This window comes from Homo sapiens, chromosome 1 (genome assembly GCF_000001405.40).
Source record: "Homo sapiens chromosome 1, GRCh38.p14 Primary Assembly".
NCBI classification, from domain to species: Eukaryota; Metazoa; Chordata; class Mammalia; order Primates; family Hominidae; genus Homo; species Homo sapiens.
The window spans coordinates 28,399,082-28,426,533 of record NC_000001.11 but is presented as its reverse complement, the minus strand read 5'-3'; the positions used below and the strand labels follow the sequence as shown (position 1 = coordinate 28,426,533).

Genomic DNA, 27,452 nt, shown 5'->3' with positions numbered 1-27,452 from the left:
CACCACCACGCCTGGCTAATTGGGTTTTTTTTGTATTTTTAGTAGAGATGGGGTTTCACTGTGTTAGCCAGATGGTCTTGATCTCCTGACCTCGTGATCCACCCGCCTCAGCCTCCCAAAGTACTGGGATTACAGGCGTGAGCCACCATGCCTGGCCTCCCAATTCCACGTTTCATCAGCATGTGTTATCTGTTTTTCATAGTACCAACTACTATTGGTAGTATGCGCTGAAGAAATCTTCACAGCTAAATAAAAGTTTCATTTTATTTAGTTTCAAACTATTGGACTATTTATATTCACAATTTTTTTTTTTGAGAAGGTTTCTCGCTCTGTTGCTCAGACTGGAATGCAGTGGTGTGATCTCAGCTCACCGCAACCTCCGCCTCCCGGGTTCAAGCGATTCTCCCGCCTCAGCCTCCCGAGTAGCTGAGATTACAGGCGCCTGCCACTACGCCTGGCTAATTTTTGTATTTTAGTAGAGACTGGGGTTTCACCATGTTGGTCAGGCTGGTCTCGAACTCCTGACCTCAGGTGATCTGCCCATCTCTGCCTCCCAAAGTGCTGGGATTACAGGCGTGAGCCACCGTGCCCGGCCCAGTTGACATCTATTAAGGAACCAAGAGGTATCACTGATGTGTAGAAACTAGTCAGAAATCAAGGAGCCCACATCACAGAGGTTTGAAACATGTGACTATGACTAGTGACTCAAAGAGATGACTATTAGCCACTGCCAATTATTCTTCCTTCTCTCTCTTTCACAACTCTTCCTAATTCGGCTGGCCCTCAATATTCACTTTAAGTGAGTGAGAAAGAAACCTGAATATTACCAACACTAGATATCCAGTGGGAACACAGTATGTGTCTGATGACAGCTAGCTATAACATTTGTAAAAGTTATGCAGAAATTCCTAACAAGAAATCTCCTTAAACAATATCATTTTCCAGTACATGAATAGGAGAATATAGCCTTCATTCTCTACTAAATAAAAATTCTCAGTAATGAACACCTAGTTACACTACGACTCAATAAAAATTCCTGTAGAAGAACTAGGATGACTATATAAATAGTGTTTATATCAAACCTCTTCAAGCCAGTAATTCAAAAGCACTTTGTTGTGGTCAGGCTTGGTGGCTCACTCCTGTAATCCCAGCACTTTGGGAGGCCAAGGCAGGCAGATCACGAGGTCAGGAGTTTGAGACCAGCCTGGCCAACATGGTGAAACCCTGTCTCTACTGAAAATACAAAACTTAGCTGGGTGTGGTGGTGGATGCCTGTAGTCCCAGCTACTGGGGAGGCTAAGGCAGGAGAACTGCTTGACCCTGGGAGGTGGAGGCTGCAGTTAGCTGAAGATCGTGCCAATGCACTCCAGATTGGGTGACAGTGAGACTCTGTCTCAAAATAAAGAAATACATAAATAAATAAATAAAATTTAAAAAATAAGGCTGGGCGTGGTAGCTCATGCCTATAATCCCAGCACTTTGGGAGGCCAAGGAAGGTGGATCACCTAAGGTCAGGAGTTCGAGACCAGCCTGACCAACAGTGAAAATGCCATCTCTACTAAAAATACAAAAATTAGCCGGGGTGGTGGTGCATGCCTGTAACCCCAGCTTCCCAGGAGGCTGAGGCAGGGAGAATTGTTTGAACCTGGGAGGAAGAGGTTGCAGTGAGCCTAGATTGCACCACTGCATTCCAAGCTGGGCGACAGAACACGACTCCATCTCAAAAAAAAACACAACAAAAAAACAGGCCAGCCACGGTGGCTCACACCTGTAATCCCAGCACTTTGGGAGGCTGAGGCGGGCAGATCACAAGGTCAGGATATCGAGACCATCCTGGCTAACACAGTGAAACCCCATCTCTACTAAAAATAGAAAAAATAAGCCAAGTGTGGTGGCACGTGCCTGTAGTCCCTGCTACTTGGGAGGCTGAGGCAGGAGAATCGCTTGAACCCAGGAGGCGGAGGTTGCAGTGAGCTGAGATGGTGCCACTGCACTCCAGCCTGGGTGGCAGAGAGACTCTGACTAAAAAAAATAATAAATAAAATTTAAAAATAAAAATAAATGAAAATAGCTCTTCAGCTGGATATGGTGGCTCACACCTGTAATCTTAGCACTTTGGAAGGCTGAAGTGGGAAGATTGCTTGAGCTCCAGAGGTGGAGACCAGCCTAGGCAACAAGGTTGGGAGTGGTGGCATATGCCTGTGGTTCCAGCTACACAGGAGGCTGAGGCAGGAGGGTCACTTGAACTCAGGAGGTGAAGGCTGCAGTGAGCCCTGTTCACACCATTGTACTCCAGTCTGGGCAACAGAGTGAGACCCTGCCTCAAAAATAAAAATAAAAAAATAATTAATTAATAATTTTTAAAAATAGCTCTGCTTTTCTAGTTCCTGTAAGAAACACTTAGAAGGACAAAACTGCAGCACTACCAGTTTTTAATCACTCAAAGCTGATTTCTGTTCTCTATTTCTTCTCTCCTTGATTTATGTTTCCTGGTTTCTGATCATTTCCCTAAATGGTAAAAACTGGTATCTGAAAAATTAGAACATAAATAAAATAAAGTTAAGTTCAAATTTATCTACTCTGTTATGTGTGAAAAGATTTGAAGAAAGCTAAAACTTAGAAAATAAACTAAATTCAACTTCCCAAGTATTCCTTCTCCCAATTCTGTTTGAATAATAATAGCTAACATGAATTGAACGTGTGTTATAATCCCAACGATTATTCTAAATATTTTACATATACTAACTTGTCTAATTCTTACAAGTCTATGAGCAAGACAGCATTTATTATTCCCATTTTGTATATGAGGAAACTGAGTCACATAGGAGTAAACTGGTCTAAGTTAAAAACTGGCAAACTGGCAAAGTTAGGATTCACATCTAAGTAATCTGGATCTGAGTCTCCATTCTTTGCTACACCATAAACCTACATATACAACAAAAACTCTCTAGCCATAGTCTTTCATGAGAAACCCAAAATTACTGAAGCACAGGTTTATATAACCTTTTAACCATACTTATGCTACATGGAGCATTATTATTAGCAATGTACAAGTATGTTTTATGAGAGCGCAAGATATTTATTTACTCATTTATTTATTTATTTATTTATTTATTTATTTATTTGAGGCAGGATCTTGCTCTGTTGCCCAGGCTGGAGTGTAGTGATATGATCATGCTTCACTGCAGCCTCGACCTCCCTGGCTTAAACAATCCTCCCATCTCAGCCACTTAAATAGCTGGGACTATAGGCATGCACCACCACACCTGGCTAATTCTGTTTATTTTTTGTCAAGACAAGGTCTTGCTATGTTGCCCCAGAAAGGCCTTGAACTCCTGGGCTCAAGGGATCCTCCCGCCTCCCAGAGTGCTGGGATTACAGGCATGAGCCGCCATGCCCAGCCCTATCTATACTCTCTAAGGTAGTTAAGAAGTCTCTAGTTTTAGGCCGGGTGTGGTGGCTCATGCCTGTAATCCCAGCAATTTGGGAGATGGAGGCAGGCGGATTACCTGAGGTCAGGAGTTTGAGACCAGCCTGGTCAACATGGGGAAACCCCGTCTCTACTAAAACTACAAAAACATTAGCTGGGCGCAGTGGCATGCGCCGGTAGTCCCAGCTACTTGGGAGGCTGAGGCAGGAGAATTGCTTGAACCCGGGAGGTGAAGGTTGCAGTGAGCTGAGATGGCACCACTGCACTCCAGCCTGGCGACAGAGTGAGACTCTGTCTCAAAAAAAGAAGTCTCTAGTTTTTACCTATTTCCCCAGGGTCACCAAATTCTCTTTTTAGATACAAAACAAACACGGTAAAACAAAAAACTTGCCCTAAAGAAATCGCCACTAAACTGTTCAAAGAACACAGATACAGGAAAAGAAATATGGGCTGGTCAGAATGCAGTGGGGTTTACAACTAATTGATCACAACCACTTAAGATTTCTTTGTTCCTTCTCCCCTCCCACTGCTTCATTTGACTAGCCTTAAAAATAAAAAGTAAAGGAAAAGAAGGGAAATACAGTCATCCTTCAGTATCCAAGGGGGATTTGTTCCAGGACTCTCCTTGGACACCAAAATCCATGGATGTTTAAGTCCCTTATATAAAGTGGCAAAGTGTTTACATATAACCTATACACATCCTCCATAATACTTAGTCTTCTCTAGATTATTTATAATACCTAACAGTGTAAATGTGATGTAAAGTTTTTATACTGTATTTTTTAAAAATTGCATTATCATTTATTGTTGTATAATTATTATTTTTTCCCCAAGCATTTTCAATCTGTGGTTGGTTAAATCCATGGATGTGAAACCCTCAGAAACAGAGGGCTGACTACACATGCTATACAATTAAGTTTTAATAATTTCCACAAGTACAAATCATGCTGAATAACATGGCAGGAAATTCCAATAACACAAGTATTTTTATTTGTATAAAATAACTTCACTCTGTCTCACATTAAAAGTTCTCAATCTCCTCTTTGAGAGCTGAAAATGTAACTTACTCATCTTTTTCCTGCATGGCAGTTAGGGCAGTGAGCCAACAAAAATTTATTGAATGAATTAATAAGTCATTCAGTCAGCCAATCATACATCCATCCATCATTCACCTTTGGGGTGGGGTTAGGATAGTAACTGGCCTTCACTGAAACCAACATTAAGCCATGTATCCCGGATGTATTATGAGATTATAACCAGAACTAAACAAATACACACCTTTAGTATTAAGCCAAGCTCCCCATCCTAGCAGGAATGTCCTTCCTTTGGTGCCACTTTTGTCTTATACTATTTAAGACATAATTCTTAAGCCTTCTTGCTATTTGTGCCCTTTGATTACTGAGCTCTAAACTGAAGTGAGGAAAAGACTGACTCACCCTGTGCGGGGAAATGGACAAAATAAAGCAGCCAGGCCTACGTTTTAGAGCATCTAAATTATTTTAAGAAATCAATGAAAAGAAACAGAATATAGCAGCATTAAAGGAAACCTAAATAAGAAATCTAAAAATTCTTAAAGAGGTCAAATATAATATTAATTTTTATGCAATAGTAAAAAGGAAAGCTATAGCTATAGATTACAATCTGATATGATGTTACTCTGGCTACCGCAAGATAAAACACTGGTTTGATGAGGAATCAAAAAAAAAAAAACAAAAAAACCCACGAATCTTCAACGAGGATTAGAGGCCATCAGCACCATCTACAAGATGGTCCATTATACTACCATTACTTTCATTCAATGGAAGCCTCAATTATAACATGTGAGTGTGTATGTGTGTGTATATATGTGCACATGCCCATGTGCTCTGGTTTCATTGACGTTTCAAACAGTAATCTTGTAAAAATTACCCTGCCTTTGGGTCAACTCAAAGCTCTGATCATGAAAGGTCATTTTGAATAAGATAGGACATGCAGAAGTCAGCCAGTGACGTTGTTTTGACTGTAGTAATAAACACATTGTAGAACTGGTACAAAAACTGACAAATTGTTCAACAGAAAAGAACATAAAGTCCAAAAATACACCCAAGACCTTACAAAACTTAGTGTGACCAAACTGGCATCATAAACCCATTAAAAAGGGGAGTTTGTTAACTTCTTAGCTTTAATTTTTTTCTAAGTTATATTTGATCATCACTTTGTCAAATATCAAAAGCTAATGTAAGTTCTCTTCAACTATTAATGTTGTATTAAACATATATAATAAATTTAGGAATAAATGACACCAATAACTTTTCCAGTTTTTCCCATTACTTGACATAATGGATCTATTTATTTATCTACAGCACACTTCTAGTTTTATCATATGGGCTATGTTGCTGAGATCACTCCTAGGTATTTTATAATTTGGGTTGTTATTGTAAATAACTCCTTTAGATTTTCTATAGATAACAATCCTCTTTTATTTTGAGACAGGGTCTCATCCTGTCACCCAGGCTGGAGTGCAGTGGCACAATCATGGCTTGTATTAGTTTGTTCTCACACTGCTATAAGGAAGTGCCCAAGACTGGGTAGTTTATAAAGGAAAGGGGTTTAATTGACTCACAGTTCAGCATGGCTGGGGAGGCCTCAGGAAACTTACCATAATGGTGGGAGGTGAAGGAGAAGCAAGGTGTCTTCTTTACAAGGTGGCAGGAAGGAGAAGGGCTGAGTGAAGGGGGAAGAGCGCCTTATAAAACCATCAGATCTTGTGAGAACTCAGTATCATGAGAACAGCATGGGGTAAACTGCCCCCATAATTCAATTACCTCCACCTGGTCTCTACCTTGACACGTGGGGATGATAGGCATTATGGGGTTTACAATTCATGATGAGATTTGGGTGGGAAGACAAAGCCTACCCATATCAATGGCTCACTGCAGCCTCAATCTCCCAGGCACAAGTGATTCTCCCAGCCTCCTGAGTGGCTGGGACCACAGTACTGCGAGACCACTCACAGTTCATTTTTGTATTTTTTGTAGAGATGGGGTCTCACAATGTTGCTCAGGCTGCGCTCAGACGATTTGCCTGCCTCAGCCTCCCAAAGCACTGGGATTACAGGTGTGAGCCACTGCATCTGGCCTAGAGAACTGGTCTTGATCCTATCAAAGTATGTAAGCAATGTTGTAACAGAAAAAAATGAACTAGAAGGATATACACAACATTCGTGGTATGTATGGGTTGTCACTAGACAAAGGTGGTCAAAGGAGACTTTATCTAACAAGTTTTACTTTATAAAATGTGTCTTAATGTTATCAATTTTTAAATCAATTTGGTAGAAATGCAGATGTTGATATTATTTAAGTATTTAAGAATAAAAATACATTATCCTATTCCTAGGGTAACTAAAGCTTTTAACTAGAAGAGTTGAATTTTCCCATCTACAAAGATAAGCAAGCATATCATTTTCGTTCTAGTTTTTGACCTATCAAGGTAATAATTTGTAACTATTTATAGATTAGCCAGGCATGGTGGCTGCTCACCTATAGTCCCAGCTACTCGGCAGGCTGAGGCAGGAGAATCGCTTGAACCCAGGAGGCAGAGGTAGACTTCATCTCAAAAAAAGTGTGTGTGTGTATATATACACACACACATACATGTATCACTTTATATATGTTTTTTACACTATATACACATATATATTTACACTTTATATGTGTGTGTGTATATATATGTGTAAAGTGATAATATATCTACATAATCCTTAGATATTGCAATAAATCCTCTTGGGTCATATTCTTTCAATATATTTATAGATTTGACATATCAAATGGGGACAAAAACAGGCCAGCCACGGTCGCTCACGCCTGTAATCCTGGCACTCTGGGAGGCCGAGGCGGGTGGATTACTTAATTTCAGGAGTTCGAGACCAGCCTGGCCGACATGGTGAAACCCTGTCTCTACTAAAAATACAAAAAAATTAGCTGGGCATGGGGGCGGGCACCAAACAAGCAGAAAACAGCTAGCTATAAATTGGCATGTTAAAAAATGTAACTACTGTACATAGAAAACTTCCCTAGAAAAAAATCATAAAAGTAGATATATCAAAATGTTATTAGTAATTACCAATGGATAGAAAGGTCAAATGATTTAAATTTTTCTCCTTTTTTTATTTTTTGAGATGGAGTCTCTCTCTGTCACCCAGGCTGGTGTGCAGTGGCACAATCTCAGCTTATTGCAACCTCTGCCTCCAGGGTTCAAGCAATTCTCCTGTCTCAGCCTCCCAAGTAGCTGGGACTACAGGCGCACACCATCATGCCCGGCTAAATTTTGTATTTTTAGTAGAGACAGGTTTCCACCATATTAGCCAGGCTGGTCTCGAACTCCTGACCTCAGGTGATCCACTGCCTCAGCCTCCCAAAGTCCTGAGATTACAGGTGTGAGCCATTGCACCTGGCCTTAAAATTTTCTCCTTTATGCCATATTTTCTCATTTTTCTCAAAGAAATATATATTGTTTTTGTAATAAGAAAAAATAATGATTTGTTGGATTTAATCTACATGTAATTTATATAGACTTTCTACAGCTGTATTAAGTGGAATAGAACAAATGTATTTGTTTGTTTGTTTTGTTTTGTTTTTTGTTTTTGAGATGGAGTCTTGCTCTGTCACCCAGTCCAGAGTGCAGTGGCGCAATCTTGAGTCACTGCAACCTCTGCCTCCCAGGTTTAGATGTTTCTCCTGCCTCAGCCTCCCAAGTAGCTGGGGTTACAGTTGCCTGCCACCACGCCCAGCTATTATTATTATTATTTTTTTTTTTTGTATTTTTAGTAGAGTCAGGCTTTCGCCATGTTGGGCAGTGTGGTCTCAAACTCCTGACCTCATGTGATCTGCCTGCCTTGGCTTCCCAATGTGCTGGGATAGGCATGAGCCACCACACCCAGCCGGACAAATGTATTTTTCTACTATCTTTGTCAGCATTTATTTATTTAGAGATAGGGCTGTGCTCTGTCCTCCAGGCTGGAGTGCAGTGGCACAATCTCATTTCACTGCAGCCTTGACCTCCTGGACTCAAGCAATCCTCCCACCTGAGCCTCCCAAATAGCTGGGACTATAGATGTGTGCCACCATACCTGGCTAACTTTTTAAAAGATTCTTGTGTCTTTTTTTTTTTTTTTTTTGTAGGGTCTCCCAATGTTGCCTAGGCTGTTCTTGAACTCCTGGGCTCAAGCAATCCTCCCGTATGGGCCTCCCAAAGGACTGAGATTAGAGGCATGAGCCACTATGCCCAGACTGTCAGCTTTTAGTTATCAAGATTTTGCCAACTTTATAAAATAAACAGGTATACTTTCTTTTTCTCTGCTATACTGATTGATATAGCATTATAGAGCTGTCCCCTCTTATCTGTGGTTTCACTTTCTGCAGTTTCAGTTACTTGTGGTTGACTGCAGTCCAAAGATATAATATGGAAAATTTCTAGAAATAAATAACTTGTAAGTTTTAAATCATGTGCCACTCTGAGTATCATGATGAAATCTCATGCCATCCTGCTCTGTCCTGCCCAGGGGTGAATCATCCATCACCTTGTCCAGCATATCCACACCGTATGTGTTCACTGCCTGTTAATCACTTAGCAGCCATCTCAGTTGCCATATCAACTGTGGCGGTATTGCAGTGCTTGTGTTCAAGTAATCTTTGTTTTACTTATTTGTTCTATTTTATTATTAGTTATTGTTATTAAATTCTTACTGTGCCTAATTTATAATCCAAACTTTATCACAGGTACATATGTATGTATGTATATACAGGAAAAAAACAGTACATATTGGGGTTCAGTATTATCCATGATTTCAGGGATCCACTGGCATTCTTGGTCTTGGTATATCCCCCATAAATAAGGAGGGACTACTGCAATCATCTGCTTCATCAACATGAATTAAATTGTCCACAAAACCCCTGGCCTAATCACATTTTAACACTAGTCTACATAGGATTTTTATTTCTTGAGTTCCTTTGGCAAATTATATTTTCCTAGAAAATTACCCATTTCAGGGGGAAGGAAGGGGGGAACAGCAAAAAAAAGAAAAAAAAAAGCAAGAAAGAAAATTACCAGTTTCATCAGGAATTCAACAGGGTGTCAAGGTAATTCAGTGGACAAAGGAGAATATTTCCAACTTTGTACCATATCTAAAAATTAACTCAAAAAGAATCAACAACTTAAAATAAAACCTAATCTTTGGTTAAGCAAAGATTTCTTCAAGAAAACACAAAAATTATGAACTATAAAAGAGAAAATGGATTAAATTGGATTGCATTACTTTAAAAGCCTCTGAAAGCAAATAGACAAGCCACAGGCTGGAAGAAAACATTTGTATGACATATATCATCGTCTGTCCAGGGTGCATGACACATTGATAAGGGCTCAGTTTGCAGCAATAAATTCAGATGGAAACCAGTCCATGCATTTAGTCAACCTATCCCACTTGCTATGATTTTCTAGGAGTAAGACGTAGTCAGAAGTGATAAAAAGTGGTGAGAGGACACAGGCAATAGTCCAGAATGTCAGCATTACTGCCTTTCCAGGCTTCTACTACTACTACTACAGCTCATCTTTTTCTACTGACAGAAAAAATAATTACATAATATCTGTTATTCAGGTTCACAGAATTTGGTGCCTGTGTACTCTGTTTTCCTTAAGATTGGTAATTCTATCTTATGCAGAAAAATTAAAACCACTGGAAGAAACACATACAGATATGTATTGTGTGTTTACTACTGGGCAGTGGGTAGGATGTAACAGTAAAAACATGTTGACCTTTATACCCCTTCAGGAAATAAGATGACAGAGGATATTTAATATATATTTATAATAATGCTATATTAAATTTCTCATCAAGACCACTAGGAGAAAAAATGGAACTAGCATCAATTTTGGCATCATGTAATACTGGAGGAATTTAACTCCTACACCCTGAGGACCTCAAAACTAATTAAGCTTGTATTTTGTCTTTCATTCTTAAAGAGGAGGGAGGGAAGGACTATGTTACTGGCATATTTTGAGCTTCAAGTGATAACAACATAACATCAAAAATGTTTTCCCATGAACTTTGAAGTGCATTATGTCTTGAGTTTGGCTCCTTGGCAAATGTTCTTAAACAGCTAGAAAAAAACTCCTTTATAGCATCATCATAATAATTCATAAATTCAGATACAGAATAAGAAAAAAATAATTGACTTTGTTTAGGAAATAATAAATTCTATTTGCTACCTTAACAAACTACTTCTCCTATTTCCTATATGATACAAATTCTAATCAAAAGGAGGTATTATCTTATAAATTTGTTTCCAGAATGCCATGCATATGAATAAAGCCTTTGCAACTAGCTTTAAATTCAGAATGCAAACTGATAATCTACATCTCATTAAACAATCACCAAACACACCCAAAAAAGTATTTTCAACAAGTCATGTTCATATTTATACAAGAGAGGGTATATAGAAACTTAATGAAGTATTCAGATGATTTAAAACATTTTGGGAAGGCAATTAGTATGCAGATCCTCCTCCACCTCAAAAATCTTTAGAAGGAAGTCACAACTCAGTACTTTTAAATAAGTGATATGCTAGGGTTTCAGTCCCTTTTGTTCTGGTATGCTCTTGGGAGAATGACTGTTAACTCCATAAGCAGTTGAAAAGGGAGGAAGAAAGCAGAAGCACGAATTAGCTATTTTTGAAAGTAGTGGGGTGTGGAGCATCATGGTAGCACAAATTCTATGCACATCCTCTCTGGATCCTTCCTTCACTCAGCACTTATGTACAGTGTAGCCATGAATTTTTTTCTTTCTTTTCTCTCTCTTTTTTTTTTTTTTGAGACAGAGTCTCGCTCTGTTGCCCAGGCTGGCGTGGAGTGGCGTGATCTTGGCTCACTGCAACCTCCGCCTCCCGGGTTCAAGCAATTCTCCTGCCTCAGCCTCCCAAGTAGCTGGGACTACAGTAGCACGCCATCATGCCTGGGTAATTTTTTGTATTTTAGTAGAGGCGGGGTTTCACCTTGTTGCCCAGGCTGGTCTCGAATTCCTGAGCTCAGGCAAACCGTCCACCTCGGCCTCCCAAAGTGCTAGGATTACGGGGGTGAGCCACCGCGCCCAGCCTAATTTTTTCTTTTAACTGGTAGTATACACCAGTATAGGTTAACAAGTAATACATTCATTGTATTTTATCCAGGTCTCTGAAATGAGATGAAAGGGAGGTGACCTAAAATCAGGAGAAGCAAGGTAAAAGCTGTTTGATTCCTCTATCACTTTCCCTACTCCATGATCTTCAATGTCTGTCCTACACTAACTCTGGCGGAATTTTGGAATCTGTTTTCCAAGAAAGTGTAAAGCAAATGGTCTCTGGAAAGGGGTCGCAAAAGGCAACTGATGGTAGGGATATGGTACAAAAAATGGAAGGGGTTGGGTGCAATGGCTCATGCCTGTAATCTCAACTTTTGGGGAGGCCGAGGTGGGAGAATCACTTGAGCCCAGGAGTTCAAGACCAGCCTGGGCAACATAGGGAGACTGCATCTTTACAAAAAGTAAAAAAATTAGTCAGGCATGGTGGTATGTGCCTATAGTCCCAGCTACTTGGGAGGCAGAGGTGGGAGAATTGTTTGAGCTCAGGAGGTCGAGGCTGCGGTGCTTTTTTTTTTTTTTTTTTTTTTGAGACAGAGGAAGACTGACCCCAAAAAATAAAAATAAAAAAATAAAATGAAAAAGAAAATAAGGCCAGCTGCAGAGGCTCATGCCTGTAATCTCAGCACTTTGGTAGGCCGAGGCAGGCGGATCACCTGAGGTCAGGAGTTCGAGACCAGCCTAGCCAACATGGTGAAACCCTAAAACTACAAAAATTAGCCAGGCAGTGATGGGTGCTTGTAATCCCAGTTACTCGGGAGGCTGAGGCCAGGAGAATCATTTGAACCCAGGAGGCAGAGGTTGCAGTAAGCTGAGATGGCGCCACTGCACTCTAGCCTGGGTGACAGAGCAAGACTCCATCTCAAAAGATAAAAATAAAGTAAAATAAAATACAAATACAAGTAAAATTAAAAATGGAAGAGAATTAAGTGAAAATATGCATAATTAATGCTGAATGCAGCAGTCTCTTCAGTCAGTTTTCTTCACCCCTTACCATCCAAACACAGTGGGAAGACTGTGCCCCTTAGACCCTGATACTGATATGAGAATGTTCATCAACAATAAGGCCAAGAAGCTCACCCAAAGGCAACCTGCCTATACATTTAAAGCTTCTAACTGGCTATTTAGTCCCTCACTTTTAACCATCAGCAGACAGTTAATTATTACTAGACATCAGAGAAAAACTCTAACATAAAAGAAACCAAATCAATATTTAAAAACAATGTTAGGAAAAAAAGAGACTATGCAGGGCAAGGAAAATCTGTTGAAAGAATGAAAGGATAGTATAAAAAGAAACATGCAGAGACTTCAAAAAGACCTCCTGGAGATTAAACTCTAATAGTAGAAAAGAAAAATTTAATAAAAGTAGAAGATAAAGTTGAATAAATCTTGCAGGAAACATATCTAAAGGAAAAAGAAATGAATTAGATAATTATTCCAGGAGGTTCAACATCAAAAAGCTACTGGCAACCAAGACAGAGGAAGACATGAGGGTTTAGGAAACAAAGGAGCTAACACAGGAAAGAAGCAAAGCTGTCAGGAAAATGGAGACTGGATAACCCAGGATGACAGTTGCGTACCACCTCTACAGACTGCAAGGCCACCTGTACACAGACTGGAGCAATGTGACTCAAGAGATATATTGAAAGCTGTCATCACCAATATCTCTGCTGCTATTTATCCTTTTTAAAGCTAAGAACACAGTACCCAGGTGAGCCTGGCCCTCAGCCTGTCTTGACTAAATGCTTATGGATTTCTTCTTTGAACATACTTGATTGCCTAATGAGTTCCAGACTCATTTCGCTCCACAAAAGTTTCTTTAACCCAGCGGTCCCCAACCTTTTTGGCACCAGGGACCAGGTTCATGGAAGACAATTTTTCTACAGACGGGGGTGTTGGGGTGGTTTGGGATGAAACTGTTCCACCTAATCACTGATCTGACAGGAGGTGGAGCTCAGACTGTAATGCTCACTGGCCCACTGCTCACCTCCTGTGGCCCGGGGGTAGTGGTGCAGGGTACTCCTGCTTAGGAGAAACCACAGAGCTAATCACTCCCTCTGACCATATTTCTGTCAAATGTCCAAGACCTAGTCCACACTGAAACCCTGCCCAATACAATCTCCAGGATTAAATCTTAACTTTACTCATGACTTCCATAGAAGGGCCTCTAGGAACCTCAGGAAAATGAAGCAAGTATAATCTGCTGATCTCTGGGGATCCCTGAGATCCTTTCAGAAGTCCAAGAGGTAAAACTAAATACATAAGAATACAAAAAAATTATTTGCCTTTTCCACTGTGTTGACACTTGCACTGATGGTACAAAAGCAATGGTGAGCAAAACTGTTAGCACCTTAACACAAATCAAGGCAACAGCACCAAACTGTAGCAGAAATCATTGTATTCTTCACAACTACACAGTTACAGTGAAAAATAAATTCAACTTTAAGAATGTCCTTGATAAAGCAATAAAAAATATTAGTTTTAATAAATATCAACCCTTTAGTACATATATTTTTATTACTGTTTATGATGAAACAGAAATATGTATAAAGCACATTTGTATACTAAGTATGATGGTTATCTCCAGGAAAGGCATTTGTGTGACTGAGTTGCAAACTGAACTAGACAGTTTTCTTCATGGAATACTATTTTTACTTGAAAGACTGAACAACAAGCTATGTTATTCAAGCTTAGATAGCTGACAGGCATTTTCTCAAAAGTAAGCCTGTCACTAATAAAGAAAATTAACAGTATTTGTTGCTAGTGATAGAATTCAAGCTTTCAAGTGAAATTCCTATTTTGGAAAATTTACATCCAGAATGAGCTTGACAGCTTCCCAACATTTAACATTTTTTTCAACGAGACCAATAGTGATATTAACGAACATGATATTTAAATATTATATAATGAAATGTGTAAGCATCTGTCCAGGTAGAAAAGGTCCTAGAGACCTTAGGTCTATCCTTCTGGTACTTTATTCGTAAAAATCCCTCACTACTTTTATTTCCAGAATACCACAAATAATTCTTTCTTTCTTTCTCTTTCTTTCTTTCTTTTGTTCATTCGTTCTTTCTTTCTTTTGTTCATTCGTTCTTTCTTTCTTTCTTTTGGGTGGTTTCTGTTTTCTTTTTTTCCTTTTTTATGTCATTTTTTACTTCAATAGGTTTTGGGGAATGGGTAGTATTTGGTTACATGAATACGTTCTTTAGTGGTGATTTCTAAGATTCTGGTGCAACCATCATCCAAGCCGTGTACACTGTACCCAATGTGTAGTCTTTTATCTCTTTTTCAATATTTCTACTTAATTATTAGCTAACTTGATTATAACAAAATTCTCACTCCACCAAAAGAAACAAACTCATTTTACATCCTCAATTCTTTTCTTTGTCAAATGACACTGAGTACACCAAATTCTTATCATATGTATATGTGTGTATATGTATAGTAAACAACTAAGAAAAAAATCATTATAACATTTAGAAGGAAAAATGGAGACAGAGGAGAATGGTAGTTAAATATGAGTCATTTCTGTTTTCCTATAAACTCCATATTATGATTGAATGAATGTTAATTTACAAATTCCAAGATTTAAATAAGTGTTTAGAAAAAAATAATCTCAGGCCGGGCTCACACCTGTAATCCAAACACTTTCGGAGGCCGAGGCAGGTGGATCATCTGAGGTCAGGAGTTCAAGACCAGCCTGGCCAATATGGCGAAATCCCGTCTCTATTAAAAATACAAAAATTAGTTGGGTGTGGTGGCAGGTGCCTGTAGTCCCAGCTACTTGGGAGGCTGAGGCAGGAGAATTGCTTGAACCCAGGAGGCGGAGGTTGCAGTGAGCCGAGATCACACCATTGTACTCCAGCCTGGGTGACAGAGCAAGACTCCACCTCAAAAAAACCCCCAAAAAACAAAAACAAACCAAAAAAATAAAAATAAAAAATAATCTCAGCCGGGCATGGTGGCTCACGCCTGCAATTCCCGCCACTTTGGGAGGCCACGGCGGGTGGATCACCTGAGGTCAGGAGTTCAAGACCAGCCTGGCCAACATGGTGAAACCTCATCTCTACTAAAAATACAAAAATTAGCTGGGCATGGTGGCAGGTGCTGGTAATCCCAGCTACTCAGGAGGCTGAGGCAGGAGAATCACTTGAACCCGGGAGGTGGAGGTTGCAGTGAAGTGAGACTGTGCCATTGCACTCCAGCCTTGGCGACAAGAGCAAAACTCCGTCTCAAATAAAAAAAAGAAAAGAAAAAGAAAAAAATAATCTCACTAGCACAGAACCCAAATTTCTACCTATCTTAGTAAACAATCAAAAGCACATTTCACTTTATGCCTCAATTGACTACTGGTCAACTATAACTTCTATAGCAACTCTCACGTTGATACTCCCTAGAAAATTTAAGTTATATTTAAGGTTAATTTCAGTTTAATTTAATTGTTTAATAATAAATTTGATTGATAAGATTATATTAAAATTTAGGTTATGTTTACTTAAGTGAAGCAAGGAGGTCACTCAGAATGAAAACTTAGGTTTCCAGTACAAACCTACGGAGTTGTCATGTATTATTCTAGTTTATCATATGGTCATGTTCTTTAGAATTTGTCACCAGACTACTATAATAAAACTCAGTTTACCAAATTCTTCAAGATTTAACCTGGTAATGAAGCTACAAACTTTAGGAATAAGTGGCTGGGCACGGTGGCTCACGCCTGTAATCCCAGCACTTTGGGAGGCCAAGGTGGGCAGATCATGAGGTCAGGAGCTCGAGATCATCCTGGCCAAGATGGTGAAACCCTGTCTCTACTAAAAATACAAAAAATGAGCTGGGTGTGGTGGCACGTGCCTGTAGTCCCAGCTACTCGGGAAGCTGAGGCAGGAGAATGGCTTGAACTCGGGAGGCGGAGATTGCAGCGAGCCCAGATCACCCCACTGCACTCCAGCCTGGGGACACAGCGAGACTCTGTCTCAAAAAAAAAAAAAAAAAAAAAAAAAAAAAAAAAATTTATGAAGAAGTACAGACTGCCCTCTTGTGTTCAAACTAAGGATGGATCTAATTGATGATGGATCTAATTGATGAACTAGGCATAATCCTAAAAACTACTCTTCAGGGGGGAAAGAAAGCCAAGGTCCTAAAGAAATTATCTAAGGTCGTTAAAAGCAGAAAAATTCTGATATTACAAAGTAATAAAGGGCAGTCTTCTCAAAGCAAGACAAAAGCTCTTAATCTGAGCCAGATGATTGCTAGTACTAGTAGCCCAAAAAGCCTAACCTCAGTTAGTATTATATAGTAGTATTTTTACTATACTTCCTCAAGCTGCACTGGCATAAAAAGGGATTCAGACTTCTTTCCGTGTGATGAAGGATCAGAAAATGCTTGAATCGGATGCTTCCTCCAGTACGCTGAAATTAAACAAGTAAAACTGCCTCTGATTTCTTTTTTTTCTTTTTTGCTAATGTGTATTTTAAAATGAAAAGTACTTCCTAACTAGTCTTCCTAGTCAATGTTATGGTTTCAAAAAATCTGATATCCTAAGACATATCTCTCACTTTGAAATGAGCATCAGTTAAAAATAGGGCCAGGAGTGGTGGAGTATGCCTGTAGTCCTAGCTACGTGGGAAATATGCATAATTAATGCTGAATGCAACAGCCTCTTTACTCAGTCTTCTTCACCCCTTACCATCCAAACACAGTGGGAGGCTAAAGCAGGAAGACTGCTTGAGCCCAGGAGTTCAAGGATGTAGCATGCTATGATTGCTTCTGTGAATAGCCACTGAACTCCAGCCTGGGCAACACAGTGATATCCAGTCTTGGAAAAAAAAAAAAAAAAGAAAGAAAGAAAAGGGGTTCCACACACAGTAAATGACTTTATCGCCAAAAAGGCAGACATTAAACCTTTGTATATCTAGACTTACATTCCTTTACTCATGTTGCTAGATGAAATATACACAGGCTAAACTTAATTAGAAATATTAGGCTGGGTGCAGTGGCTCACGCCTGTAATTCTAACACTCTGGGAGGCCAAGGCAGGTGGATCCCTTGAGCCTATGAATTCCAGAGCCGCCTGCTCAACAAGGCAAAGCCCTATCTCTACCAAAAAAAAAAAAAAAAATCAGTCGGGCATAGGGGTGCACACCTATAGTCCCAGCTACTCAGGAGGCTGAGTTGAAAGGATTGCCTGAGCCCGGGAGGTCAAGGCTGCAGTGAGCTGTGATGGTGCCACTGCACTCCAGCCTGGGCGACAGAGTGAGACACTATCTCAAAAAAAATAAATTAAAAAAAAATATATATATATATACACACACACACATATATAGACACACACACGTACATATATATTACACATGCCTGCTATTATGATTACTTCCACGTTATCTTTCTCTTTTCTTTTCTTTTAAGACAGAGTCTCCCTGTGTTGCCGAGGCTGGAGTGCAGTGGCATGATCCCGGCTTACTGCAACCTCCGCCTTCCAGGCCTCAAGTGTTTCTCCTGCCTCAACCTCCTGAGTAGCTGAGATTACAGGCACCCACTACCATGCCCAGCTAATTTTTGTATTTTTAGTAGATGGGGTTTCACCATGTCAGCCAGGCTGGTCTCAAACTCCTGACCTCAAGTGATCTGCCCATCTCAGCCTCCCAAAGTGCTGGGATTACAGGCATGAGCCACTGCGCCCAGTCACTTTCATGTTATCTTCCATTGGCCAAGTACTAATGAAGCACTACAAAGCACACATTGTTTCTGAAATATGAGCAGAACTACATTTCCAACCAAAGAGAAGTATACATAAGTTACTGAGTGATTAAGACAGAGTTTATTTACTTATTTTTCTTTTTTTGAGACAGAGTCTTGCTCTGTTGCCCAGGATGGAGCGCAGTGGCGCGATCTCAGCTCACTGCAACCTCTGCTTCCTGGGTTCAAGCGTTTCTCATGCTTCAGCCTCCAGAGTAGCTGGGATTACAGGTGTGTGCCACCATGCCCAGCTAAATTTTTGTATTTTTAGTAGAGACGGGGTTTTGTCATGTTGGCCAGGCTGGTCTCGAACTCCTAGCCTCAAGTGATCTGCCTGCCTCAGCTTCCCAAAGTGCTAGGATTATAGGCGTGAGCCACCACTCCTGGCTAAGATAGAGAAATTTAAATTTCTCATTTTATCTTGTCAAATGGTTCTTGATTTTTTTAATTAAAAATGTTATTTGTGTAATATATAATGGGTTTATCAATGTTGTTTTTAAACAAATTAATATTTTTAAAGTTTCTCAGGTTTAATTTGTAATACAGCAAACATCAATAGATATGTCACATAAACAAAAGGTAATTGGCACTCTATCATTAAATATATAACTGAATTCTTATAGAAGCAAAAAGTTTGAGACCCATTATTCTAGAGAGTAGCATACTGAATATGAAAAAAAACCAATTTACTCTCAAAGCTTTAATGGAGGTGAGGATAAAACAGAAATGTCATTTACTAAGAACAATGTAGGTGATACTCACCAAATGGATCTTCCATGCCACTATTAACCAGTTTAGGGAGGTGAGATACTGTTTCTAAAAAGAGAAAAAGGTAAATGATACACTTAATACATATAGTCCATCACCTTTTATGCTTTTAAAAAAATAATCCTAATTCAGTAACATTGACTATAGTTTAAAAGTGGAACATTATAGAAATGTACAACTTATTAAATGATAGTTTTTTTTTTTTTTTTGAGACAGGATCTCCTTATGTTGCCCAGACTAGATTTTAATTCTTGGGCTCAAGTGAGCCTCCCATGTCAGCCTCTTGAGGATTACAACAGCCTGAGACTGTGCCAGGCTGGGAGTTATTTTAGGGGAATTGAGATACAGATGTACAATACTAGATTATCATAAAACATTTAAGGCTAATTTTTGTCTTAAAATATATTATTGTCAGTTTCCTCAAATAAGCTCCCTTTCCAATCCTCATTTTGAATTTACTAGAGTATAGGGAAAAAGGCAAGTTTTTTTGTAAGAAAAATACAACACCTGAGAAAGGGCATGAGGAACATCTTTGAAGAAGGGAATTGGTTTTGCCTAAGGAAAATGGAAGTTATTTTAGACACAGGAGGATGGTTCAGTAAGCTGTAAGTTTATCCACTCAAGTATGAAAATAAAACAAAAAACGTTTCAAAAGAAAGTTGACTAAGTATAATATACAACCTCCTGCACCCCCAATCAAGGCAAGTGTCAAATCTGCCCTACCCAGCTTCCTACTCCTCCTGTGGTTTTTATCCTAAGGTCATTCCCTAACAGTCTAAATACTAAACTCCAATTCAGAGCCTGCTTTTTATAAGTCACAACCTACTGACAGGAATGACTGGAGAAACTTGGGAGTAAGATGCAGTTGTAGGGCCGGGCGCAGTGGCTCATGGGCTACTCGTACTAGCAATCATCTGGCTCAGATTAAGAGCTTTTGAGAAGACTGCTGTTTATTACCTTGTAAGATCAGAATTTTTCTGCTTTTAACAACCTTAGATGATTTCTTTAGGACCTTGGCTTTTTTTTTCCCCCTCAAGAGTAGTTTTTACCTAGTTCATCAATTAGATCCATCCTTAGTTTGAACAGTCTGTTCAAAAAGGGCAGTCTGTACTTATTCATAAATTTTGTAGCTTCATTACCAAGTTAAATCTTGAAGAATTTGGTAAATTGAGTTTTATTATAGTAGCCTGGTGACAAATTCTAAAGAACATGACCATATGATAAACTAGAATAATACATGACAACTCCATAGGTTTGTACTGGAAATGTAAAGTTTTCATTCTGAGTGACCTCCTTGCTTCACTTAAGTAAACATAACCTAAATTTTAATACAATCTTATCAGTCAAATTTATTATTAAACAATTAAATTAAACTCAAATTAACCTTAAATATAACTTAAATTTACTAGAGAGTATCAAAGTGAGAGCTGCTATAGAAGTTATGGTTGGCCAGCAGTCAATTGAGGCATAAAGTGAAATATGCTTTTGATTGTTTACTAAGATAGATAGAAATCTGGGTTCTGTGCTAGTGAGATTATTTTTTTCTTTTCCTATTCCTTTTTTTTTTAAGATGGAGTTTCGCTCTGTTGTCCAGGCTGGAGTGCAATGGTGCAATCTCAGCACACTGCAACCTCTGCCTCCTGGGTTCAAGTGATTCTCCTGCCTCAGCCTCCTGAGTAGCTGGGATTACAGGCACCTGCCACCATGCCCAGCTAATTTTTGTATTTTTAGTAGAGACAGAGTTTCACCATGTTGGCCAGGCTGGTCTCGAACTCCTAACTGGTGGTCATTCCCTGGTCACTGAATGTGAAATTGAAATACACATACTTGGGGCCAGGCGTGGTGGTTCACACCTGTAATCCCAGCACTTTGGGAGGTCGAGATGGGTGGATCACCTGAGGTCAGGAGTTTGAGACCAGCCTGGACAACATGGTGAAACCCTGTCTCTACCAAAAATACCAAAATTAGCTGGGCATGGTGGCCTGTACCTGTAGTCCCAGCTACTCAGGAGGCTGAGGCATGAGAATTGCTTGAACCTGGGAGTCGGAGGTTGCAGTGAGCTGAGAACATGCCACTGAACTCTAGCCTGGGCAACAGAGTAAGATTCGGTCTCAAAAAAGAAAAAGAAAAAAATTTAAAGTTTTGTGCTTCAAAGGACACCATCAAAAAAGTGATAAGGCAACCCACAGAATGGGAGAAAATTTTTGCAAATCATCTATCTGATAAGGAACCTATATCTAGAATACATAAAGAACAATAACTCAATAACAAAAAGACAACCCAATTTAAAAATGGGCAAAGGATGTATATAAACATTTCCTAAGAGAAGATATACAGTCAATAGGCACATGAAAAGATCTTCAACATCTCATTTTTAGCCCTACAGGAAATGCAAATCAATGTCACAATGAGATAACACTTTACACCCATTATGATGGCTATAATAAATAAAAGAGGTAATAACAAGTGTTGGGAGCTAAACCGAGAACACATGGATACTAGGAGGGGAACAACAGACACTGGGGCCTGCTTGAGGGTGAAGGATGAGAGGATCAGAAAAAATACCTATCAGGTGTTATGGTTATTACCGGGGTGACTAAATTATCTGTACACCAAACCCCCGTAACACACAGTTTACCTATATAACAAACCTGCAAGTGTACGTGTAACCTGAACGTAAAATAAAAGTTAAATAAATACATAACAAGTATTAGGAAAGATGCAGAGAAACTGGGGCCTCAATAAACTGCTGGTGAGAATGTAAAATGATGTAGCCGATTTGGAAGAGTAACAGTTCCCCAAACAGTTAAACATAGAGTTTACCATATGACCCACTCCTAGGTATATATCCAAGAGAAATAAAAACATATGTCAAGGCCAGGTGCGGTGGCTCACGCCTGTAATCCCAGCACTTTGGGAGGCTGAGGCGGGCAGATCACCTGAGGTCAGGAGTTCGAGACCAGCCTGGTCAATATGGTGAAACCCTGTCTCTACTAAAAATACAAAAATTAGCTGGGCGTGGTGGCAGGTGCCTGTAGTCCCAGGTACTCAGGAGGCTGAGGCAGGAGAATCGCTTGAACCCAGGAGGCGGAGGTTGCAGTGAGCTGAGATCGCGCCACTGCACTCCAGTCTGGGTTACAGAGCAAAACTCCGTCTCAAAAAAAAAAAAAAAAAAAAAAAAGGATGTTCATACAAAATCTTGTACACAGGCCAGGTGCAGTGGCTCATGCCTGTAATCCCAGCACTTTGGGAGGACAAGGCAGGCAGATCACTTGAGGTCAGAAGTTTGAGACAAGCCTAGCCAACATGGTGAAACCCCGTCTCTACAAAAAATACAAAAATTACTTGAGCATGGTGGCACGTGCCTATAGTCCCAGCTAACTACAAAAACAAACGTCCCCCAAAACAAACAAACGAAAAACTTGTATACAAATGTTCATAGCAGCATTATTCATAATAGCTAAAAAGTGAAAACCACCCAGTGTCTTTCCACTGATCACTGGATAAACAAAATTAATACAACGGGACATTCAGCATAAAAAGAAATTAAGTATTGATACGTGTTGTAACATGGATAAACGTTTAAAACACACTAAATGAAAGGCTAATCACAAAGGACCATGCAGCGTATTATTCCACTTACATGAAATGTCCATAATAGGTAAGTCTATAGAGACAGAAAGTTTGCGGTGGCCTATGTTGGGGGTGGGTGGGGAGGAGATTACAGAGTGACAGCTAAGGGGAACAGAGTTTTTTGGGGGGTAATTAAAATGTTCTAAAATTGGTTAGAGTGATGGTTACACAACTTGCAAATATATTAAAAGCCATTGAGTTGTATACTATAAACTGTAATTATAAATTTTACAATAATGAATTATATCTCAAAAATACTGTTTTTTTGTTTTTTAAGTAGTAGATCTGAGCAACACAAGGGTATACTGTGGTAGCATGCTGTTGCACTGGCTGGATCCTCCATTAAGGAATGACAGGACTGCTGTTGGGAGACAGCCTACAACTGTCAATCCTTTCAGGGAGTGCCTCAGATATGAAGAGTTGACTCAAGGAAGGTCACAACCTTCTCAGGGGTCCACATCCAATCAAGACCAGGGTGTAAGCCCAGCCGTTACAGCACATATAAGACAACTCTAAAAGGTCATTTTAGCTCCAGAGCCCCCGTGGGGTCCACTAAGGCTCCTGTTGGATCTCTATTGCCACTTGACTTCTCCCTATGGCCAAATACTGCTGCTCCTGTCCCCTCCCTTCTACGGGTGTTGATCCCAAGGGCACTTCCTAATAAGCATTCTTCAGGCTATACTATCAGAGTCTGCCTCAAAGATAACCCAACCTAGGACAGTACTCCTTTAAGAATAGGACTTTACTGACAGTTTGCCAGCCATCTGATACCTTCCAATTCTAATATTAAGCTATCGAAATCACAGATCGCAATTTTCAATACCACATGGTCCTTTCACATGTTCCAAGGGACTCTTATAGACCTTTAATTTCTCTATTAGATTATACTGAACTCTTCCAAAGCCACAGAAATCATTTACTTCTTTTGATTGATGTTGTTATAATATCAATCCTAGGGGATGATCCTGGTTTGTGATGGAAAGTTTCCATTAACAAAATACCCCTGTTCTTACAGAATCACAAACAGAAGCATGTCTTGCTAGAAAAATCCTGTGTAGTTTTTGCAGAGGAGAAGCCTACTTTGTGTTTCCACTAACTGGACACCTGTGCAAGACAGAAATATTCCTATGGCCTCTGTAACCACCCATAAACAGATGATGCTCAAACCTATATGGTGAGCCACAGCACCTAGTAAGCACCAAATTAGGTGCCCGGCCTAAATTTTTAAAAATTTTTGTAGAGACGGGGTCTCACTATGTTATCTAGGCTGGTCTCAAACTCCTTACCTCAAGTGATCCTCCCATCTTGGCCTCCCAAAGTGTTGGGATTACAGACATAGGCCAACATGCCTAGCCTAGTTCTACCATTTTTAATACCCCCTATATACACTGATGATACAAACAAATTCTTATTTCCAGGCTGAACATCTCCCCTGAACTTCAACAGACTGATATATCTACAGCATACTCAATACTCTATTTGGAAATCTAGGAAGTTTCATAAACTTACTATGTTTTAAAGAACAAACTCTTGATTTCCCACTCCCAATTTTTTCCCCCCCAGGTATTCCCTATTCATGAGTAGGGCAACAGATGTAAAGCACTTAGAAAAAGAGCTGGCATCTGTGTTAGCTGCTATTTTGTATCATTTCAGTAAAATGGCAGCTTAAGTTTTCTAGTTGTTCAACAAGGTGTCATCCTTGACTCTTCTCTTTCTCTCACAGCTACAATTAAATCATTACCAAGTCTTATTGCCTCCACCTCCAAAAGATATCCATAATTTAACCACTTCTCACTCTAGTCTAAGCTATCACCATCTCTTGCTAGACTAGTACAATCAACCCCTAATTAACCTCCCTTCTTCTCAGACTCTTATATTCTGTTATCCTCAGACTGGCCTGGGTGATCCTTTCAAAAAGTAAAGCAGAGCTGGATGCAGTGGCTGATGGCTATAATCGCAGTACTTTCAGATACTGAAGTGGTAGGATCACTTGAGGCCAGGAATTCAAGGCCAGCTTGGGCAACATAGTAAAATCCCTGTCTCTAAAAAAATTTAAAAATTAGATGAGCGTGGTGGTGCGTGCCTGTAGTCCTAGCTACTCTGAGGCAGGAAGACAGCTTGAGCCCAGAAATTTGAGGTTACAGTGAGCTATGACTGCACCACGGCACTCCAGCATGGGCAACAGAGCCAGACCCTGCCTCTATTAACAACAACAAAAAAAAGGGCATGGTGGCTCATGCCTGTACTCCTAGCATTTTGGGAGGCCAAGGCGGGCAGATCGCCTGAGGTCAGGAGTTCAAAACCAGCCTGGCCAACATGGTGAAACCTCGTCTCTACTAAAAATATAAAAATTAGCCGGGCATGGTGGCGGGCGCCTGTAATCCCAGCTACGTGGGAGGCTGAGGCAGGAAAATGGCTTGAACTCGGGAGGTGGAGGTTGCAGTGAGCCAAGATCGTGCCACTGCACTCCAGCCTGGGTGACAGAGCGAGACTCCATCCCCCCCAAAAAAAAAAAAAAAAAAAAGTAAAGCAGGTCATATATCCCTGTTGTAGCCAAGTATCTCAGCCTCAAAATGCGTTTTAAAACTTTTTTTTCCTTTCTTGCTTTCAGCCTTGAAACATACTTTGAAACTCTTTGTTTCCCTTTCCTACCAGGTACTTCCATGAACAATGCTCACTTATCTAATTATGTGCTTGCTTACAAATTCCAGGGGCCAATTTTGAAACAAATCAGGCAGAGAGAGCCAGTTGCAGAATCCTCCCACCTAAGGGGAGTTCTGAACAGTTGGCTCACCACTATTAGGCAGAAATCAGGATGAAAAAACCAGAACTCCAGACAGGTGATTACTCAAGACAGCCATGGGAACAAGATTTGAAGGCCTATCCCCTCCTGCACCACTATCACATATTTCCCATATCTTTGCCTTCTTAAAACCCTTCACTCAGGCCGGGCGTGGTGGCTCATGCCTGTAATCCCAGCACTGTGGGAGGCCGAGGCAGGCAGATCACCTGAGGTCAGGAGTTCGAGACCAGCCTGGCCAACATAGGGAAACCCCGTCTCTACTAAAACTACAAAAATTAGCAGGGCGTGGTGGCGCGCGCCTGTAGTCCTGGCTACTCTGGAGGTTGAGGCAGGAGAATCGCTTCAATCTGGGAGGCAGAGGTTGCACTAAGCTGAGATTGCGCCACTGCACTCCAGCCTGGGTGACAGAGTGAGACTCCATCTCAAAAAAAATCCTTCACTCAGCCCAAAAAACTGGAATGGTCTTTTGAAGGCATGAGCCTGGCCATTCCCCAGCTCCTAGCATTTGATTAATAAAACTGCTTTCCTTAAACCGCACCTGGCTTCTCTTTTTTTTGGCCTCTGAGTGGCAAGCAGCCAGACTTAAGCCGGCTACATTATTACATCTGAAATTAACTCCAGATTTCTCTTTTTTTTTTTTTTTTTAATTGAGATGGAGTCTTGCTCTGTCACCCAGGCTGGAGTGCAGTGGCACGATCTTGGCTCACTGCAACCTCCGACTCCCAGGTTCAAGCGATTCTCCTGCCTCAACCTCCCAAGTAGCTGGGATTACAGGCGTGCGCCAAGACGCCCGGCTAATTTTTGTATTTTTAGAAGAGATGGGGTTTCACCATGTTGGCCAGGCTGGTCTTGAACTCCTGACCTCAAGTGATCTGCCCACCTTGGCCTCCCAAAGTGCTGGGATTACAGGCATGAGCCATTGTGCTTGACAACTGCAAATTTCTTACCACGGCCTATAAGATCCTACATGTCCTGGTCCCTGTCTGCTCCACTGACCACATTTCCTACTTCTCTTGCTCACTCTGTTTTACCCATACTGAGCTTACTATTGTTTCTGTAACATAACAAGCACATTCTTACCCTAGGGTTTGCAGTTGTTATTCAGTCAGCCTGGAATGCTCTTTTCCCAGAAACTGCGTGATTTGCTCCATTATTTCAGGTCACTCAAGTGTGACTCCCTCAGAGAGGCCTTTCCTTGGCACCCCCTTTTCAAAACATTCTATCCATTTACCCTGTTTTATTTTTATTTTAATGTATCACTATCTGATGGTATACTATCTGTAATTTATCTATAGATATGCTTACCTAAGTTCTTATTGTGTCTCTCCCAATCTAGAAAGTATCATTAGATACTTTATCTGTTCTGTTCACTACTATATCCCTGCATTTAGAAGGTGCATACACTAGGTACTAAGAAAATACTTACTGAATAAATAAATGAACACTAGCACCAAACAGTACTACATAGTCCGAGACCAACAAGAAATTAATAGAAATGGAATTAGGTAAGTATCCATGACGTATGTGAGCCATGAGAAAACCAAATAACTTCAAAGGAACAAGTTTCCTGGCAATGTGAATACCGAAAAGTGGTAAAAGAAATAAATCATGCCATATCACTTAACAGTAGAGACATACTAAACTCAAAAAATATTTATACACAGCAGAAATTTCATCAACACAAAATTATTCATCATATATATATTTTTTGAGACAGAGTCTTGCTCTGTCGCCCAGGCTGGAGTGCAGTGGCATGACCTTGGCTTACTATAACCCCCGCCTCCTGGATTCAAGCGATTCTCCTGCCTCAGCCTCCCCAGTAGCTGAGATTACCGGCATGTGCCACCACACCCAGCTAATTTTTGTATTTTTAGTAGAGATGGGGTTCCACCATGTTGGCCAGGCTGGTCTTGAACTCCTGACCTCTGGTGATCCACCCG

At 40.3% G+C, this 27,452-nt stretch overlaps 1 protein-coding gene across 5 annotated transcripts in view, besides 3 other annotated features; it reads right to left on the bottom strand.

Moving 5' to 3' along the window:
- The window catches only part of PHACTR4 (phosphatase and actin regulator 4), a 130,625-nt gene that overhangs the window by 73,831 nt on the left and 29,342 nt on the right, over positions 1–27,452 (bottom strand). For all 5 annotated transcript variants that reach the window (NM_001350159.2, NM_001350160.2, NM_001350161.2 and 2 more), the window contains one exon: positions 19,071–19,124. In NM_001350159.2, coding sequence (NP_001337088.1) covers positions 19,071–19,086 — 16 coding nt within the window. In that variant the 5' untranslated portion in view covers positions 19,087–19,124. The remainder of the gene's footprint in view (positions 1–19,070; positions 19,125–27,452) is intronic.
- Positions 9,022–9,081: a silencer, noted in NCBI's record as "silent region_539". NCBI's record gives its function as "represses an Ori minimal core promoter by ATAC-STARR-seq in GM12878 lymphoblastoid cells {active_cell/tissue: GM12878}" and the evidence as "EXISTENCE:reporter gene assay evidence [ECO:0000049][PMID:35858748]".
- Positions 16,511–16,570: an enhancer, noted in NCBI's record as "active region_596". NCBI's record gives its function as "activates an Ori minimal core promoter by ATAC-STARR-seq in GM12878 lymphoblastoid cells {active_cell/tissue: GM12878}" and the evidence as "EXISTENCE:reporter gene assay evidence [ECO:0000049][PMID:35858748]".
- Positions 26,163–26,380: a silencer, noted in NCBI's record as "fragment chr1:28726665-28726882 (GRCh37/hg19 assembly coordinates)". NCBI's record gives its function as "represses an EF-1alpha promoter that drives an FKBP-Casp9 reporter gene in an ReSE screen in K562 erythroleukemia cells {active_cell/tissue: K562}" and the evidence as "EXISTENCE:reporter gene assay evidence [ECO:0000049][PMID:32094911]".